The 20808-nt window shown below is 43.6% G+C and overlaps 1 protein-coding gene across 3 annotated transcripts in view; it reads left to right on the top strand.

Moving 5' to 3' along the window:
* DGKG (diacylglycerol kinase gamma) overlaps nucleotides 1–20808 on the top strand; it is a 215034-nt gene that overhangs the window by 29420 nt on the left and 164806 nt on the right. For all 3 annotated transcript variants that reach the window (NM_001080745.2, NM_001080744.2, NM_001346.3), the window contains exon 2: nucleotides 12108–12422. In NM_001080745.2, coding sequence (NP_001074214.1) covers nucleotides 12356–12422 — 67 coding nt within the window. In that variant the 5' untranslated portion in view covers nucleotides 12108–12355. The remainder of the gene's footprint in view (nucleotides 1–12107; nucleotides 12423–20808) is intronic.

Below are 20808 nucleotides of genomic sequence, written 5' to 3'. Positions count from 1 at the left end.
AATTACCTCTTAAAGGCCTCACCTCTCAATACTGCCACTTTGGAGATTAAATTTCAACATGAATTTTGGAGAGGACAAACATTCAAACCATAATAAACATTATACAAATAATCTCATAATAACCTTGGGAAGCATGTGTTAATATTTTCACCATTCCCATTTAGAGATGAAGAAGAACTTGCTAATGTCACACAGTTATATAGGATAGAGCCAAGATCTGAATTCTGGTCTCTAATTCCAAAGTCAGACTTGTGCTTGGTGCTCTGGGCAGAAGTCTCCCTGACACAGGGCATGAGTCTAGGGCAGACGCTTCCCCAGGTAGTAATTTCATAAAGGAGACCTCTACTCACAATCCCTTCCCTACATCAGCCCCTCAGCACTGGAGTTCAGAATCAGACTTTTCCATTGCTATTCACAACCCTGCTTCCTTAAATTTCCACTGTTAAGGGCCCCAAGTGGTGAAGCTGAGTGAACTCTCCCAGGATTCACAGAGGTGGCCCCAGGGCAAGAGCAAGGTTTTCTTTCGAAGTCCCATGTTTTGCCTACAAATTTCCTGGATATTTTGCATTCTATTCCATTCTGTGCTCATGTTTAATATAATATAGCTTTTCCTCCCTCAAATAATGTTGGCTTTTCAGGAACAGGCCATGGTTTTTATTCTGGCTTCCATTCCCCTTCCATGTTGAGGACCAGGGCGTGGCATCTCCACAGGTGGCTTATTAATGGCATCTGTACCTGCACAGGCTCAACACTTAGGTACTCAGCACTCATTCATCCAAAGATGTTACCATGAGCTTTGAACAACACAGACTTAGATTCCTATACAGTCTCATCATTTACTAGTAGGATAACTTGGGAGAATTACTCTGGGCCTGCTTCTACAGATGTTAAATGGGCATAAAACATACGTTCCTCACAGGGTTTGGTGACTATTACAGATGAAGTTTGCAAAGCGCAAGATGTGTTGCAATCTATAAATGGAGGTTGCTGCTATTGCTTGTTATTACAGTGATTTGTTGAGCAAGTGAACAAATGAATGAATGACCAATCCTCAGATTGTGATGCCCCTGAGCTACAAACACTCTTCTTAGACCAACACTGCCTGCCTGTGCCAAAGACAGACCCCCAAAGTAGCAGTCCTCAACTTCTCCTTGGAGCCCAAAAGCTTTTTCTGGGTACCAGCCACTCCCAGCTCCCCCACCTGGGCATTTGGTTCAGCCTGACATTTTCATGACTATCTTGCGGCAGAGATTCTCACATTCACTCTGAGGCCACTAATGGTGTACAAAGTACCTCTCAAATGAAAATCCTCTCTGAATTCTTATGGATAGAATGCAATCCCAAGACTTTTGTGTTTATGTTTATTTAAGGACTACATGCCAGTAATATGCTAAATGAGTTATTAGGTATTACTCATATTTACCACTCATAAACTTAAATTAGATCATTGCAAAGTTCCCCAAGGGCTTTAATTCAGTTATCTGTGAAATCAGGCTGCTTCTAAATGCTCAGCAGCTACAGCCCCCACACTCAAGTAGATGGTTAGAATCCTGTGACCTGGGGAAGGCCCCGTTGTTGTCATTGCATGTCAGTCTTGCTTTGAGTTGGTTGTGGTTTTCAGCTACTGCTATTCTTGCTTATTAATTAGAAATTATAGTTCACTTGACTTCATAATTATCATATTAGTTTGTGAAGGATATTTGGCTAACCCTACAGCAGGCAGTGATACATATTTGCATCGAAGGTATTTTTAGCCTATAATTTTCCAACTACTAGATTTTAAGACATGAATAAGTTGCAGTTCAAGCATGAATCATGCAGATTCTGTTGCCAAATAGACACATGCATAACCTGCCCCTAAAAGTGCTTGTGTAGTTGTCTTGGTTATCTACGATTACATAACTAACTGCCCCAAAATCTTGTTGCTCCACAATTATGTTATTCGTCTATGTGTTTCTGTGCATTGGGAATCCAGACCAGGCTGAGCGGGGATGGGTTATCTCTGCTCCACGTGTGATGTCTGCCAAGGCTGTGAAATCCCAAATGGCTTCTTGTCTCACAACACAGCTAGGATGACTTAGATGACTGGGTGCTGGCTGGAATGGCTTGACTGGGGTCTTACATCTTGGGCTTCAGTTCTTGTCATCAGATGGGTTGCTCAGTTCTCCTCTCTGTAATGTTAGATCTCCCTTCATCCACGTGGCCTCTCCATGTGGTCTCTATGTGATCTCTCCAGCAAAATGGCTGAACTTCTTACATGGCAGTTCAGTGCCCTTAGGAACTCAGAAGTGGGCCTTCTCAAGGCTTATGCTTGACACAGGCACAGCACCACTTCTAATGCACTCTCTTGGTTAGGGCAAGTTACAGGTGCAGCCCGGACTCAAGGGAAGAAACTAGAAAGGGCATAAATATCAGGAAGCATGGTTTGGGGGACCACCAATGTAAATGACGACCACAATAGTGACAGTTCATTGATAAATTCAAGCAACTTATGTAACTTACAAAATACTATCAGATTAAGCATAATAAAGTAACTTGATTATAAGTCTATATCTGTTATAACTTTATAACCCTGATAGCCTATACTTGTGTAGGTCATTATTTTAATATAAAATGTGAGTGTTGATGTATATTTTATGGTAAATTAAGTGACTTGTAAGTGATACTATCAACAATTGTACTGCAACTTGCATCTTCTGTTCTTCTTGAATTCTTTTTATCACCCAGTTCCTCCTCTATAGGGACATGTAAATAGATGTGGTAGGAACTTTGACTCCATGAAAATGATCTTGGTCAATAAAAGGTTGAGAATCATTTTTCTAGTGTCAAAAAATGAACTCTTAGAAATCTTGTAGTAGCTAGAGGTGCAAAGCAGACAGGACACTCTTTCTGCCCTGAAGGAGTTCAAAGTCCTGTAGGGAAGACAGTTGGTAAGTACATGCACTGCAGTAAATGTCATAATGGAGAAAAACCCAAAGTGCTACTGGAGAGCAGACAAGATATGCCCAGCCAGGTCTGGGCAATTAAAGAGGGCATCTTCAGGTGCAATTTGAACTAAACTCCAAAGCCTGCATAAGAGTTATAGAGTTGAAGAAGGAACAGTAGGAGTTAAAGCCAGAGATGGGGCACTTGTCAAGTTGCGACTTTCCACAAGTCTGAGAAGAGAAAGAGGTTTTTATCTTTGTAGCTTTTAGTCTTTCTTCCCTTATGAACATGTACTCATTATGGCTTTGTAATAAACCTTCAAATGCACATAAATAGGCTTCTCCAATCTGATGTCATATTCATGAATTAATGTTTTTAGGAGAGCAAAGAGGAGATGAGGAGGTGTTTGTTCCTGGATAATTGGGTATGGCTGATTCATTCAAATGAATAGAGAGACCCAGGGTGCAATTCAATACTCATTGAATTTGCCTTCTTCCTCCTGACTTGTGATTTCCATGCTGACATCCGTACAGAACAAATAGAATTTGATCCAGTATATAAAATTGCAGAGCTAGAAAATGCATTAGAAACCATTATTCCCACCCCCTCATTTCATAGACAAGGAAACTGAGGCCAAAGGAGCTGAAGCAATTGCTCAGAGTGACATAGCTGTAGAGACATAAAATACTCTTCTCCTACCCAAGTCAGACAATATCCAATCTGAGTTTTATTTAGAAAATCCTATTCAATTTTTTCTGTCAGAAAAGATGCTTGGGGTGGTAATAAGAAGATTGTTCATACTACAAAGAGCCTCTGAGAGGGGAGTGATGGAGCAGGCTGCTGAGGGAAGTGCCGAGCTTCGTGAGCTAGAGAAAGCCCTCCTGGCTGTCAGCTGTCACCTTCATCAAAGGGCAGAAGGCAGAGGCGGGCTGTCACGTGGGATACCATCTGGAGAGTCAGGCAATGTTTTAGGCCCCTAACTTTTCTTGAAGGAAATAAAGAATGGTGTAAGGCCGGGCGCAGTGGCTCACACCTGTAATCTCAGCACTGTGGGAGGCTGAGGCAGGCAGATCACCTGAGGTCAGGAGTTCGAGACCAGCCTGGCCAACATGGTGGTGAAACCTTGTCTCTACAAAAAATACAAAAATTAGCCGGGCGTGGTGGCAGGTGCCTGTAGTCCCAGCTACTCGGGAGGCTGAGGCAGGAGAATCACTTGAACCCAGGAGGTGGAGGTTGCAGTGAGCTGAGATCATGCCACAACACTCCAGTCTGGGCGGCAGAGCAAAACTCCATCTCAAGAAAAAAAAAAAAAAAGAATGGTGTAGCCTTTTCCACTGTGAATTCAAGCACTGAGCTACAATGGAACAACCATGATAATGATAATATGAATATTTGTTGAGTTATAGCAATGTATACCACATCACCTCGTCACCCCTCCTCAGCAGGAGCATCAGCTCCTTCAGGAAGCTTTTCCTGATTATTTGTGCCTGCTTCAGACACATTAGATGACCCCATAAATCTCTGGACATATCTGCACCACTTCTCTTGCCAGCTTGTATGTTAATTATTAATAGCTGTTTGGGTGTCTGTCCCCCACAGGGAATCATCAACCACCGCAATAGAGAAATACATAGGATTCTGTGGAACACAGCTGGGAGAACAGGCAAATTTGCTCAAAGAGTTCCAAAAAGCTATAGAAAAGAAGTGACCTTTTAATCTGGATCTAAAGAGATGAGTAGAGATTTGTTTTAGGAAGGAAGGAGTAAAGGGCATTTCAAGTAGATCAAAGGCATGGTGTGTTTGTCAGGCCATAATGCTTATGGGGTCCTCCCACATCCAGGCACTTTGCTAGTGCTAAGAGTAGACAGAAGGTAGATTTGGCTGGAAGGTGGAGTGTGTGGGGCAGGAGGTAATGGGGGTGAGAATGGGGAGGTGAGTTATTACCACAGGTAAAGAACCTTGTGGAACTAGCTAAGGAGACAGCTCTTTTTTTCCTGGAGGCCAAGGGAGGCTTCTGAAGGATTTTAAGGAGATAAGTGTCAGAGTCCTATTTAATTCTAAATGAGAAAGATCTCTATGAACAGGTATGGTGTGATTCATAGGATGTATTGATTGGTGAAAAAACAATATGCAGATGATGATCTATAATGTGCTACCTTTTGTATTAGAAAGAAAGGGAAGCCAGGCACAGAGGCTCACATATAATCTCAGCACTTTGGGAGACCGAGGCAGGTGGATCACTTGAGCCCAGGAGTTCGAGATCAGCCTGGGCAACATAGTGAGACACTGTCTCTACAAAAAGTTAAAAAAAAAAAAAATTAGCAGGTCATAGTGGCATACACCTCTAGTCCCAGCTACTCTACTGGGAGGGCTGGGAGGGGGCTGCTGAAGTGGGAGGATTGCTTAACCCAGGAGTTCAAGGCTGCTGTGGGCTGTGATTCCACTACTGCTCTCCAGCATGGGTGACAGAGAGAAACCACGCCTCAAAAAAAAAAAAAAGAAGAAGAAAAAGAATAAGGAGGAGGAGGAGGAGGAGGAGAAGGAGGAGGAAAGGGGGAAATAAGATATTCACATATCTTCTCACATGTGCAAAACTAAACACAGGAAGTATAAACTAGATACTATAAGGGTAAGTGAGAATAAGATAGAAAAGAGGAGATGGGAAAAGAGTAAGAGGAATGAGGGATACTTCTCTGAGTATATCTTTTTCTTTTTGTTTTTGTTTTGAGACGGGATCCCACTCTGCTGCTCAGGCTGGAGTGCAATGGTGCAATTATAGTTCAGTGCAGCCTTGATCCCTCAGGCTCAGGTGATCTTCCCACCTCAGCCTCCTGGGTATCTGGGACCACAGATGCACACCACCATGCCTGGTGAATTTTTTTGTTTGTATTTTTTGTAAAGACGGGGTTTTGCCATATTGCTCAGGCTGGTCTAGAACTCCTGGGCTCAAGCATCTGCCTGGCTCAGCCTCCCAAAGTGCTGGGATTACAGGTGTGAGCCACCAACGCCTGGCTGAATATATCTTTCTATATAGTTTTGACTTTGGAACCATACTGAAAAAGAATCAGTGGATATGAAGAAAACATCCTAAAATGAAATACAAACAGAAACTGATGGGAGTGAGAAAGAACTAACCTACGTAACTTTTGAGAGTAGCATTTTGAGGATTTGCCGTTGCCTGAAAACAATAGAACTGTAAACAAATCTTGAAGTCTATTTTGTTTTTCACAGAGGTGTGGACTGGCAATTCTGAAACTACTTTCTGTGTATTAAGCAAATAAGTATGTTGTAGATGATGGAAACAAAGCTTGTTAGAGAAGATAGTTAAAAAATATGGAAGGAAGGGAAGGCTACAATTGACTTTGCAATGTCGGACTGGAGTTGGAGGTGTAAGTATGAACTCAAGGTATTTAACAGAGAGAGAGAGAGAGAGAGAGAGAGATGAGGGGTGTGTGTGTGTGTATCTGTGTACATACATCTATTTTTTTTTTAAGACAGTGTCTCACTCTGTCACCCAGGCTGGAGTGCAGTGGCAGGATCTCGGCTCGCTGCAACATCCAACCCCCACCTCCCAGGTTCGAGCAATTCTCCTACCTCAGCCTCCTGAGTAGCTGGGACTACAGGCATGTACCACCACACCCAGCTAATTTTTGTATTTTTAATAGAGACAGAGCTTCGCCATGTTGGCCAGGCTGGTCTCAAACTCCTGGGCTCAAGTGATCCTTCCGCCTCGGCCTCCAAAAGTGCTGGGATCACAGGCATGAGCCACCACGCCCAGCACACGCATCTATTTTCTAGCTCTGTCCTTGATAGGGCCTAGAAGCAATGACACCCCAGCAGCAGTGAGCATACGTGGTACCCAAGCTTTGGCTTCAAATGCCATTCTTCACCAAAGGAACTCCTTAGAGAAATGACTGATTTTAGCACTTGAGCTGAGGAAGTACGAGATGAGCCTGAAACATTTTGTAGTGCTAGAAAATAAGGATGTGCTGAAAAAATGACTGAGATATATCTAAAGAACAGATCGCCACCTTGACTGAGCTTCCACTGATCAAATCTGGAATAATCTGAGAGTCGAAGATAGCAACAGATTTGTAACCCACAGAATAAAATAAGAATCTGTGAAAATAAATATATATTATATATAAATGCAGTTTTTATACACACATATATATTCTTTATATATTTATAATTTATCTTTATTTATAGTAGACATATAAATTGATATAAATAACAGAAGGGAAAGCTCTTACTTACAATAGACTCCTAACTAACAAATATAAAGGGAATGATGGAATTAGAAAATCAGTATCATTGTAATAATTAATCCAGGCAATAATCATTAGTGGACGCTAAAACTAGTGGATAAGGGTTGATGAGCAATTACAAAATTACAACAACCTGGAGCAGTATCAGATCAAGTTCAGAAACCTGTGGCACAATACTAGAAACTTTCTACTTGACTACTGCCAGCTGATTTTTTAAAATTTCAACTATTATTCAGGGGGTACAGGGGCAAGTTTGTTACCTGAGTATATTGCATGATGTTGACTTTGGAGTATGAATGATCCCATCACCCAGGTAGTGAGCATAGTACCCAATTTTTCAGTTTTTCAGTTTTTCAGCCTTTGCCCCTTCCCCCTGCCCCCTCTAGTAATCCCCAGTGTCTTTTACTTCCATATTTATGTCCATATGTTCCCAATGTTTAGCTCCCACTTATAAGTAAGAACATGTAGTATTTGGTTTTCACATATTTTCTATTTGGTATTTGGTATTTTCTATTCCTGTGTTAATTCATTTTGGATAATGGCCTCAAGCTGCATCCATGTTGCTGCAAAGGACATGATTTCATTCTTTTTTACGGCTGTGTAGTATTGTATGGTATATGTGCATTACATTTTCTTTATCCATCCAGTCCATCATTGGATAAATGGATAAATTGGATAAATCCAGGTTGATTCCATGCCTTTGCTACTGTGAATAGTGCTGTGATGAACATATGAGTGCACGTGTCTTTTTTGTGGAACTACTTATTTTCCTTTGGATGTATACCCAGTAATGGGATTGCTGCATTGCATGGGAGGTCTGTTTTAAGTTCTTCGAGAAATCTCCAACCTGCTTTCCATAGTGACTGAACTAATTTACATTCCCACCAGCAGTGTATAGGCATTCCCTTTTCTCCAAAGCCTCACCAGTATCTGTTTTTGTCTTTTTAATAATAGTCATGGTTTTGATGTACATGTATCTGATGATTAGCAATGTTGAGCATTTTTTCATGTTTGTTGGCCACTTGTATTGTCTTCTTTTGAGAAGAGTGTGTTTGTGCCCTTTGCCCACTTTTTAATGGGGTTATTTTGGGTTTTTTTTTTTTTTCAGCTGATCGTTTAAGCCACATTGCTACATGTTGTATTTGCAACTGGATGATAATAACAATCATTTATTGAGTGTTTGCTATGTGCAGGCATTGCACCAGGTGGGGATTTTGTTTTTATGTTTGTTGCATATATTAACCCACTTAATCCTAACACCAACCCAGTAAGCTTTTTCATTAATATCTTCATGTTTTAGATGAAGAAACCAAAGTTCAAGGGATGAAAAATATGTCTAGGGTGAAATAGCTCAGAAGGGCAGAGCCCAGATTCAAATTCTCTGCCTTCTGGTTTTAGTTCAGTGTTGTTCTGTCATGCAGTGTGCCTATGCGTCCTCTTAGATCTCCCTCTGTGCTTCTGAAGGTGTGCAGAATGCCCAGGCCATGGAGGCATTCTTTTTTTTTTTTTTTTTTTTTGACAGACTCTCACTCTGTCGCCAGGCTGGAGTGCAGTGGTGTGATCTTGGCTCACTGCAACCTCTGACTCCCTGGTTCAAGCGATTCTCCTGCCTCAGCCTCCCGAGTAGCTGGGATTACAAGCATGCACCACGACACCCAGCTAATTTTTTTTTTTTTTTTTTTTTTGAGACGGAGTCTCACTCTGTTGCCCAGGCTGGAGTGCAGTGGCGCAATCTCAGATCACTGCAAGGTCTGCATCCTGGGTTCAAACCATTCTTCTGCCTCAGCCTCCTGAGTAGCTGGAACTACAGGCACCCACCACCACGCCTGGCTAATTTTTTTGTGTTTTTAGTAGAGACGGGGTTTCACTGTGTTAGCCAGGATGGTCTCGATCTCCTGACCTTGTGATCCGCCCGTCTCGGCCTCCCAAAGTGGTGGGATTACAGGCGTGAGCCACTGCGCCTGGCCACACCCAGCTAATTTTTGTATTTTTAGTAGAGACAAGGTTTCACCATGTTGGCCAGGATGGTCTCGATCTCCTGACCTCATGATCCGCCCATCTTAGCCTCCTAAAGTGATGGGATTACAGGCATAAGCCACCGCACCCAGCAGGAGGCATTCTTAAACAGAAGCACTAGTGGCTCCTTCTTTCTCCTCACCATGTTTACTAAATACCTAACCTCATTTTTTTCTCATCCGCAAAACAGGGACAGCAATATTGAATTGACATGTTATTAAGAGGACTAAATTAGATAATGTATATAAAGCATATAGCACAGAGTAAAGTACAGGTCCATTCATTGATAGCAGCAGCAGCGGTGACAGTGGTTGCAATGCTAGATTCCCTGGCACGATGGCAAAGGTTTCTAAAGGATACTCCTCACTTTCGTACTAAATTGATCATCACGAGCCAGATCATAAAGAGCTTTGTGTATCATGAAAAGAAGATTACATCTTATTCTACAGGCAGTAGAAACTACTGAAGAATTTTATTACCGAGAGAGATGTGATCTGGTTGGCAATTTAAAGAGCAGACCAAGGGGAGGAGAACAAAGCGCAAGGCAGGGAGAGCAGCAGGAGGCTGTTGTCAAAGGCCAGGCAAGAGATAAGGAAGGTCTGAGTTAATGCCAGGGCTGGTGTGGTGGACAAGAGGGAGCACACAGTGGACAGTCAAACTCCGGAGCTGTGCCTGGGTTTGGCAGGAGAGAAAAGGGGAGGAGCTTAGCTGAGCCTCCTGCCTCTGACCTGGGCACTGGCTTCTCTTGGGCATAACCCGAGCGGCTGGGGACACTGGAAGATGCAGATCAGGGGTGGTTTGGGACACACAAGGGAGTCACAGTAGATGGTTGGATATACAGATCTGGATTAAGGCATCTGAATATCTGAATATTCAGATTCAGACCAAGGAGAGAGCTCAGGGCTGCCGCAGCATGCCGGGGGTCATTAAAGCTTGGAGGTGGATGAGGTCCATCAGAGAAGGGATGTAGAGTGAGAAGAGGGCTGAGGACAGGATTTTGGAAGTGCCCATTTTTTCTTTAACTTTTATTTTAGGTTCAAGGGTTCTTGTGCAGGTTTGTTATATGGGTAAATCACATGTCACGGGGGTTTGCTGTACAGATTATTTTGTCACTCAGGTAATAAGCATAGTACCCAGTAGGTAGTTTTTCAGTTCTCTCCCTCCTCCCATCCTCCACCTTCAAGTAGGCCCCAGTACCTATTGTTCCCTTCTTTGTGTCCCTGTGTTCTCAGTGTTCAGCTCTCACTTATAAGTGAAGATGTGCTGTATCTGGATTTCTGTTCCTGTATTAGTTCACTTAGGATAATGTCCTCCAGCTCCATCCATGTTGCTGCAAGGAACAGGATCTCATTCTTTTTTATGGCTGTGTAGTATTCCGTGGTGTATATGTACTACATTTGCTTTATCCAGTCTTCCACTGATAGGCATTTAGGCTGATTCTATATCTTTGCTGTGGAAACATTTCAATATTTAAAGATGGCAAAAGAAGAGGCTGAAGGAGACTGACAAGAAACACCCAGAAACATAAGAGAGTCTCTAGGTGGAAGTTTTCTGCCATGGCAAAGAAAGATTGCAGAGAGAGAAACAAGCCGAGGAAGGACTGAAAGGTGCCTGCTGGATTTGGCAGCTAGGTCACTGATGACCTTGACAGTAGCATGTGCCAAGGAGCAGAGTCGAGCTGGCTGGATTAAGGAGAGAGTTGGACTTCTCAGGGCGAGAGACTAGAACTTAATGTCCCCAGGAATGTGGGTCTCTCATTTCCTTGCCATGCATTCTGGTTAATGGAAGGTTTTCTTTATAAAGCTAGAATCTCTCTCTCTCCAGCATCTTCCCTCAGCTCTAGTTCACTCTCCAGGTCCAAAACAACCAGTCTACACATTTCCCCAGAGAATGGTCCATATATACCTCCCAACTTGGTCGTCTCATCCAGCACTGCTCATATGCTCCAGGAACCCCAGACTTGCCTTGCAGTTGGCCCTCAGGATGGATCCTGTTTTGTTAAAACTGTGCTTGTTCTTTGGCAACAGTAGAGCCTGTGTTTCAGTTGGTCTTTATTTCTCACCTTTTTAGGTTGGTGGCTTCCCAACCATGCTTGTAACCTCAACTGAGAATAAGAAAGACACTTCACAATATGATCAGTATAACCATGGGTGTATAACTGAAGGAAAAGTCTTATGACATAATACATCCCCTTACTGTGGTAGATGCACTCTAGTGTTTTCGACTCCATCTCATTCTACCCTATTCCATTTCATGTGTTTACATGCTTGTTGTGACTCATTACATCAATTTCACAACCACAAAACTGATTTAATGACCCACAGTATGAGAGGCTCAAAGGAAAAGATGCTCAGTGTTTGTTTGAATCCATCCCCATTTCCCGGCCTCATTGAGGCCAGCAGCCCATTCCTCTAACTCCCTTTTTATGGCTCTAAGAGGACAGAGAACTGCTTCAGTCACTAGATGTTAGCCAGCCTTGGGGTTATTCCAGAATGGCTCACCAGAGCTATCACGGTGGAATTTAGAAATCAGTGCAGGACAGAACGGCTGCATAGGCTCCTGTTCCTGTAATTACTCATGAAGCATCCAATAGCCTAAGGCATTTTTATGCCCTGAGGATGCTCTTAGGCAGCTCTAATACCACCTCTCATGTGACACATGGAACATTTCCCAGAGCTGAGTAGTATGGCCCACCTATTCATACAGGCCACAGCTTGCCCCTCAACTCTCACCACCAGCCAGACAACTGTCGTTGTGCCCTCTTCAGACCTCTCTAAGGGGAGAACCATCCTTAAGAACCATTGAACAATTGTCCCCTGTAGATCTTTCAGCAAAGAACATTTGGGGCCTTTTTTTTTTAACATTCTCATTTACAATGTCTTTTCTGCTTCTATCTAGGAAGAGCCAGGACTTCTGAATTTACCTTGAATACAGACAGGAGGATGTTGCCTAAGGAATAGCAGAGATCTTGTCTCATCTTCTGAGAGGTGCCTGCTGCTGCTGTATACACTTGAGTGCTCCCAGAAGTCTCCTGAAAGGCTTACATCGCAAACCTGCAATGAGCCAGGCCCTGGGCTGGGCCTCCACTTCAGCCTAGTGAACAAAACTCCATCACTGCCCTTTAGCCACTCACATAAAGTTTAAAAATGGGTGAAGAACGGTGGGTCTCCCTCACTCCAGAAGAATTTGACCAACTCCAGAAATATTCAGAATGTGAGTAAATGCATTGACAGCCCTGGGACGGGATTTCTTCTTGGCTGGAGAAATCATTTCTGGAAAGCATAGCAGTATGATCATTGCAAAGCCACAAAGAATGATGTCAGGCCTGACGGCTTATATTTCCTTATAAACACAGAATTAGTGTATTTAACATAAAAACGCAATTATCTTTAAGCTCAGTAAATACTACGTGCTCACCATAGAAATTTGCAATATACATAGAAAAAAAGAGTAGGTTAAAAATCACTGACAACACTGCAAACATCTTAGAGCACTTCCCTGCTGTGCATATTGCTTTACACCGTTGAGCTCACACTGTATACACCCTGCGTTAAGCCTGCATTTTCCGCCTAATATATCGTATGTATTTGCTCAGGTCATTAAAGCTCTTCAGAGCATAATTTTGAAGGGCTGCATGCTGCATGGCTACAATGTTACTCAATCGTTTACTGTAGTATATTCCTGCATTTGGACCCAAAGCCTTCTTGCAGTAAGATGCTGAATGCTAATGTGTGTTTCTTTCTTGACTTTGTTTTGGGAAGGCTTGGGCTTTTACTTGGGGCTCTTGGTTTCCCATTAGTTGTGCCCCAGAACCAATTCAGTGCAAGACACAGTGGTGGTAGGGTGCACAGCCACACATGGGCCCATGGCTTGTCCCCTCAGGTTACTCCTAATCCTTATTGGTGAGAGGAACCTGCTGGACTGTGGCAGGACACCACCTGACCACTGCACGCTGCCCACACAGAGTGACCGTCACTTACCCTGCATGGCACTGACTTTCCAGGAGGCCCTTCATCTTGTAGAGCTCTCAGCTGCACTGCCTGCTCCATGCCCTTGTCCCATGGCCTCTCCCTTCACATTAACTGTGTTGATGCTTCTGTAAATCATGAGGCCTGCAGCTGTTGACCTGCTCTATTGCTCTTGCACAGGTCCCCCTTCTCACACAGTAGGCAGTCCTTGTCCCCAGCGCTGGTCTAGGAGTCAGGGAATCCAGTTCAGGTGCCAGCTCTGCCTCTTGCTCTCTATGCTGTGACATCCCTGAACATCCCTGGGTCTCAGCAACCTCTTCTATACAATGGGAGGGTTGGACTAAGTGTTCTCTCCCTGCGGTCCCTTCCAGCCCAGCATCCTGTGACTCCGAATGCTCTCCGAGGTCAACAGGGGACCATAGGGCTAATGGTTTGTCACCCTCCTGGTACTCTAGAGCCTGTGGTCTCTCATCTGACCCCCATGGGTTTAGAAAAACTCTAATATATTGACAAGAAGCAAAAAATCACCCTCCAGGGTAAATTCAATTTAATTCAGCTAGCTCTGTAGGTCAGCAAAGCACCAAGCCCTGTCAGGGATGAAGAAGAAGCACAAAGGAGAGGCCTACCCTGGAGGAATCAGAATCTTGTTAGGGCATCAGAAATGTGCTCGTGACACAGAGAACTGCTTTAAGGCAGCAGGCAAACAGCTCTGGTACAGCTGGATAAACTAAGCGTGGAAACGAGAAGGGGATCAAAAACCAAGGGAAACTGGTATGGGGGTTGTTTGCTATTTGGTTCAATCCAGCGTGGGTTTATTGTCTCTAAGCCTTATAGTCTCAAAGTTCTGGGAGCTAGAAGTCCACAATCAAGGAGTCAGCGGCGCTGGCTCCTTCTGAGAGCTGTGGAGAAGGGATCCATCCCAGGGCTGTGTTTTTGGCTTGCGGATGGCCGTATTCTCCCTGCATGCCCTCACGTGACATTCTCCCTGTGTGCATATCTCTGTGTCCAAAGTTCCCCCTTTCCTAGGCGCACAACCTTATTGGCCTGGATCCCCCCATTCGGTCATGACTTCATCTTAACTAATTACATCTGCAACAACCCAAATAAGGTTACATCCTGAGTTATTGAGGGATGGAACTTCAACACATAAATTTGAGGTTTAGGGCACGGTTGAACCGATAACAGAGGATTTAGCTGGATAAACTCCATGGAGGAAAGAGGTTTAAAATGTGAGCAGCAGATGGAAGGGGAACGATGGAAGCAAAAGGAATGTTTGGGAATGTTGATTTTGAGATGGTGATAACACACCCACTAAGCATTCCTGTGGTGTGCAGGGGTGGGTAAGGAGAGCTTCTGGGCTGGATGGTGAGAAGGCACAGAAAATGAGGAGGACATAGGAGGCGTGGGGATAGCAGGAGGTCTTGGGCCTTGTGTGTCAAAGTGTGGGCAAAATTTAGAGCCAGGAATCTGGAGACTGTGTGCAGGGTGCCTTGGATCAGGCAGTTTCCAGGCCAGGGAACTGGGCAGGATCCTTTGGAGGAAACCTAGTCTGAGCCAAAGAGCTAAGGTGGTGAGTGTGGCCATGAACAAATGCTAATTCGTGGGAAACTGTGGTGGAAATATCATCAATGCACGTACAACAAAAGGAAGCCATCAAAGATACCTTGCAGACTGAATCTGTAGAAAATGACATCAGGATGCAGGGCTGATGGGGAATGTTTGGGATTGTTGATTTGGAGATGGTGATAACACATCCACTACGCCTTCCTATGTGCCAGGCTCCAGGGATCCAGCAATAAATGAGACACAGTTCCTGCCCTCAAAGAGATCACTGCCTCACAGGGGAAGACAAACAGGACTCAAGCACGGGTGCTGCAGTATAGCCGGTGCTCAGAAGTGGGCAGCATGGGAGGAGAAGGCCCCGCTCAGCCTGGTGGGAGGCCTCCTGATGCACGCATTGTTTCCAGACTCCAGGAACTGTAGGGCAGGGAGGGAGAAGGGCATTCCGGGTAGAGGACGTGGCTTGGGCAAGGGCAGGGCAGGGTGGAGGACATCATGGGAGCTTCCAAGAACTGCAAGCAGCTCCCAGGCTGGAGCCCAGAGCATGTGTTGGTGGTGGCATCAGGAGTGTTGGGGGAAGAACTAGAAAGGAAAGTAGGACCCCATCCTGGGGAATCCTGCTTTCTAAGAAACATGTCCTGTAGGCCCCAGGAGGGTGTGTGATGGGATTTGAGTGGAAATGAGGGGTCAGTCCATAGCTCTGGTTTGGGAATCATGCGAGGAGATGGCAAGGAGAGAAAGAAAATGAATGAAGGCACTCAGACAGTAGGAATGTTAGGAAAGAAAAGAAGAGGCTGGAGAATGAGGCTTAAGGTATGCCTCTATCAGGATTCAGCAGAAGACACAGAGAGAAGAACCAGAAAGGCAAGTAGGTGGAAAAGAGTGCAGCATGGAGGGCGCAAAGGCAAGGAGGAGCTCCAAATGCAGCAAAGCCGCTGAGCAGGCGGAGGGATGAAAAGGAACCAGAGTATTCAGTAGAAGAGGGTTGTGTTGGGGTTGGGCCTTTTCTTTAAACATTTACCTTTGTCCTTCTCTGACCCTTGCTCGTGTTGTCCATGTCGCGGGACTGGATGAGGCACTCTGCTACTGTTGTTCGAACAGGAGAGGAAAAAAAGATACAATTCTTACAAAATGATTAATCCTCAGAGGAAACCCTGAAAAAGTCATTCCCACCAATTTTAGACACATTCTGGTGTTCAGTCGGATTGCATTGCCATAGCAACCACTCTTCCGTAACCACATAAACAGGAGCTTTACAATAACAAAATAATGAAGTGTACAGCCTGAGAATTGAGAACTTTCTCCAGTGGGGTTACCAGGTAGGAGAGGCTCTTGTTGTTTTCCATTTATATAGTGTAAAGTTGGCACCTTCTCTGGTGACCTTCTATAGGGTGAGGGTGGGGCATCTTAAAACTGCTCTTGGAGACAAGTAACTTAACTTTGTATGTAAACGTACATACATATACACACAGACACACACACATATAGCTGACAGTAAGTTTGTTATCAATCTACAATGTAAAGTACTTATCAAAAGAGCTAATGTGATATTAAGAAATTTGTATTATAAAACGATGAAATTTAAAGCTACTCATGATTCTATTTTCCAGTGATAACCAGCACTAGCATGTTTATGTATAAATATAAGTATAAATATAGATATCAAAATATGCAAGCACATATACATATATACACATATACAACATACACATGTAAAACAAACTTGAGAATATGCATGTTGTGCTATTTTGTATGCTGTTTTCTTTCCCTTAACAATATGTTTCAGTTACCTATTGCAGCATCAAAACAACTTCAAAACTTGTGTGCTGAAACAACCACCATTTTGGTTTCCCATGAGTCTGTGGGTCAGGATCCTGGGCAGACATGGTGGGCATGACTCATCTCTGCTCCACAGTGTTTGGACCTTCAAGGGGGAGGCCTCAAACAAGTGAGGACTTAGACCATCCGTCATGGCTCATTCACTCACATGGTGGGACCTTAGTGTTCCTTCATGGAACCTCTTTCTCCAGCACTTTCTTGTCTTCCAGGGCCTCTCCATATGTCCTTTCTTTTCAGCAGGGTAACCTGGAAATCTAACATGTCAGCTCAGGGCTCCAAGAGCACAGAAGAAGCTGCTGTCAGATCTTTTTAGCACCTGGGATCAGAGATCCTAGAACGGAACTCCCTCCACATTCCACTGGTCAGTGCAGTCACAGGCCTGGCTCACATTCAGTGAAGTAGAGGAACGGACTCCACATTTCAGGGAGGAGGGACTCACATAGGGAGGGAAAGAATTTATGGCAGCCATCTTTGGAAACTGGCTAGCACACAATATCGATCATGAGTCATTCCCACATCATTCTGTACTCTTCAGAAGCATAGCTGTTAGCGGTTGCAGAGATTTTTTTTTTTTTTTACTACATTTGTACTATTTCATCTAACCAAATCAGTCATTGCAATCTTAGGCTGTATTCATAGACTCACAGTGCCTAGTAAGGCAAACTGATATCCACATTCTAGCCTACCCTGATAGACCGTCAGACCTCTCTAGAGAACTGAATTTATTTATGGTCACTATGGTTTACGATGGACATGGACAACCTGGAACTTGTTTGAGAGTTGGTAAGGGGCCTCACAACCACATTATGGAGAAATGAAGATACTGTGCATATTTGTTGGAGAAGGGAAGGGAAAGGTGAAGAAGAGCTCGTTGTATTAAAATAGCTCAGTACTGTTGTGGGAAGAGGTGTGTAGTTAATTTTGAATGGCTTCAAGAGGTAGCCCTAGGACTAATGGGAGGAAGTTATAGGAAGTCTTTAAAGTGTGGAATACATTAATTACTAGTGGTCAAATCTGCCCAAGATGGAATCGAATTGACTTAAAAGTGACTGGGTTTCCTTTCCCTGGAACTGTCTGGGCAGAGAGTTTGTTTGGACACTATAGGGGAGATAACAGCTTTAGTCATCTGGTTGATTAAATGACCTTCATTAGCTCCTCCAATACTTGGTTTCTATATTTAAATAGATTTCTACCGCAGAGGGTGTGTGCATGTGGGGATGCCGCCTACTGACCCTCTTCCTAACAATAATTGCTGGTGGCCATTGGGGGGTGGGCATTTTTTCTTCAATTTTTTGTTAATTCCTTAAAAGTTCCATGATGCCTCAAGGACAGAAACTATTCATTTATTCAGAAAGAGAAAAAAGGAAAAACAACTGAAGAAGCATCCATTAAACTTTTAATTCTCTAAGAAATTAAACCAAACATTTCCTACATCAGCCAGCAGTTGCTTGGACTGTGTAGAACTTTTTTTTTTTTTTTTTTTTTGAGACGGAGTCTTACTCTGTCACCTAGCCTGGAGTGCAGCGGCGCGATCTCGGCTCACCACAACCTCCGCCTCCCGGGTTCAAGCGTTTCTCCTGCCTCAGTCTCCCAAGTAGCTGGGACTATAGGCTCCCACCACCATGCCCAGCTAATTTTGTATTTTTAGTAGAGACAAGGTTTCACCATGTTGGCCAGGCTGGTCTCGAACTCCTGACCTCAGGTGATCCACCCGCCTCGACCTCCCAAAGTGCTGGGACTACAGGCGTGAGCCACCGCACTCAGCCAGAATTTTTAAGTTGGGAAAAATCTTAACCATATCAATGCCAAGCATTACACATTTTAAAACTGAGACTACTACGTCCAGAAGAGCTCAGTGACTTGCCCAAGGTCATATAGAAAGAAGGTCGATAGTAAAATAGAAATTAGAACCAAAAGTCCCTCAATTCTAGTACAAACTCATTTGCTTCAATTCAGCAACAACAAATTAAACAAAAAGTACCCACTGGAGCTCAACCTTCAAACATACATTAATGTGTGTGTGTGTGTGTGTGTGTGTGTGTGTGTGTGTGTGTGTGTGTGTGTGCAGATATGTATATGTCAATTAAATTACATTAAAGCAAAATTTTAAGATGTAATTAAAGAGAATCAATCAGTAAATTGTGCTATTAGGAAATATATTTCTTTCGAATCAGATTATGACAAAGTTTCTGACTTTAAGATGTAGTTACAGTTCAAAATACAAAACTGTCAGAGTCAGAGAACATATTTAGGGCTGATATGTAGAACCATAGAAGGCTCTAAGTAAATGTCACTAAAACCTTGCTATTTATGCTGGCCAGTAGAGTGAGACTTGATCAAATGCTCATGAAGTCCTGGGCCCATGAAGGGTCATATCTAGTTGCTTCTATCTTGGAAGGATAGCCATAACTATTTCTCACCTACATGTGTTTCAGCACCACAGACCTTTTTTTCTTTTAACGATGAGTAGGACTCTGCCCACCAGGAGTCACAGAATCTACGGATAGGGAGGAATTTCTATGGAACAATAGCTCTCAATGTTTAATGTACACATGAATCTCCTGGAGAGCTGTTGAAATGCAGACTGTGAATCAGTAGGTCTGGGGTACTGCTGAGAATCTGCTTTTCTAACAAGCTCCCAGGTGATGCTGATGCTGCTGGTCCAGGGACCACACTTTTAGTTGCAAGATGGTCCAAGTTGTCTGATCCATTCCTCCACCTTCACTTGAAATACGACTGATGAAGCCAAATTATTTGGAGAAAAGGTGAGAAAATGTTCTAGCAATACAAATTTTACTTACACAAATAAGTCATACCAGTGATTCAGATCATTTATGACAAAAAAATTGTGTCTTAAAAAACGTTTTATTGCTATTGACCCCAATTTCCTCTGCTTCTATATAAAGTCTTTTCTTATTATTTCATATGTAACATCTGTGTCAGAGCCATCACTTCCACATGTCAGTGGTCCTCAGCCTCGGCTCATGTTCAAATCACATGGAAGGCTTGGAATACTTCCAATGTTCTGCCCACACCTCCCAGATCATTTAATCACAGTTTGTAGGCAAGGGGCCTGGGCATCAGTATTTTTTAAAGCCCTGCAAGTGATTTCAATAAGCAGCCAAGGTTGATAACCACTAGTCTACCTTTTCTTTCCATACCCCTGAGAATATAGGACATGTGGGACAAGTGTGACCAGCTCAATCCCTTTGCTAGCCTTCATTTATTCAATAGATCTTTCTTGAATATCTATTTTTTTTGCCAGGCAATGGGCTGCATGCTGGGGATGAACAGTGAGCAGAAACAAAGTTTAGATGGGAGAATATGTGTGTAGCAAGTACATCCGTGCTTATGAAGCTGGGCTTCTCCCCTGTGCTTCCCACGTGCTGCTCTGAGGCCTGACTCCAGCTGGCTGAAGAGGTGGGCCTTTTGATGCAGTGCTCTTGGCCCTGGCCCTTCTGTTTTGACATTTTTCAGGACCCTCACAAAACTCTGCTCTTGTTTTTGTGCATCTCACTGTATAACTTCCTAGAGTAATTAGAAAATGTATTCTTACATCCCAGCCTTCACTGGAAGAAGGAAAATCTAGATTTTATTTTTTTGCTCATGCGCCAACTTTCCCTTCCCCTCGTCTCAGTGACTCCCCCTGCCCACCACTTATGGTCTTTCTACTCCATTGAGTATGTTCCTTTGTCCTCGGCATCGTGGTCTTTTCTGGGTTGTGACAGGCAAGCCTCAGCAGTCAGCCCCAGATCCACAGGGACATTGCTTAGAGCCTGCGTATCAAGTGAGGTCCGTGAACCTGCAAAATTGGTGTCACTTAGGATCTTATTCAGAATGTAGAATCTCAGGCTGTGGCCCAGTCCTACAGAATCTGCATTTTTACCAGATCCCAATGTGACTCATACGCACATTACAGTTTGAGAAGCTCATAGAGAACTTTGAGGAATGAAGAGTTATCATGTACCTTAGAATTCCACTCTCATATATGGATTTTCAGATTCACTTTTGAAAATGTTGATTTATAGTTTTTTCGGAGTTTAACAGTTTAATGGTCTAATGCTCAAATACTCTGTGTTCTTTTTTTTTTTTTTTTTTTTTTTTTTTTTTTTTTTTGAGACGGAGTCTCGCTCTGTCGCCCAGGCCGGACTGCGGACTGCAGTGGCGCAATCTCGGCTCACTGCAAGCTCCGCTTCCCGGGTTCACGCCATTCTCCTGCCTCAGCCTCCCGA

This window comes from Homo sapiens, chromosome 3 (assembly GCF_000001405.40).
Source record: "Homo sapiens chromosome 3, GRCh38.p14 Primary Assembly".
Classification (NCBI taxonomy): domain Eukaryota; kingdom Metazoa; phylum Chordata; class Mammalia; order Primates; family Hominidae; genus Homo; species Homo sapiens.
Note: the sequence above shows the minus strand (reverse complement) of the source record. Positions and strands in the feature narration are given on the sequence as shown.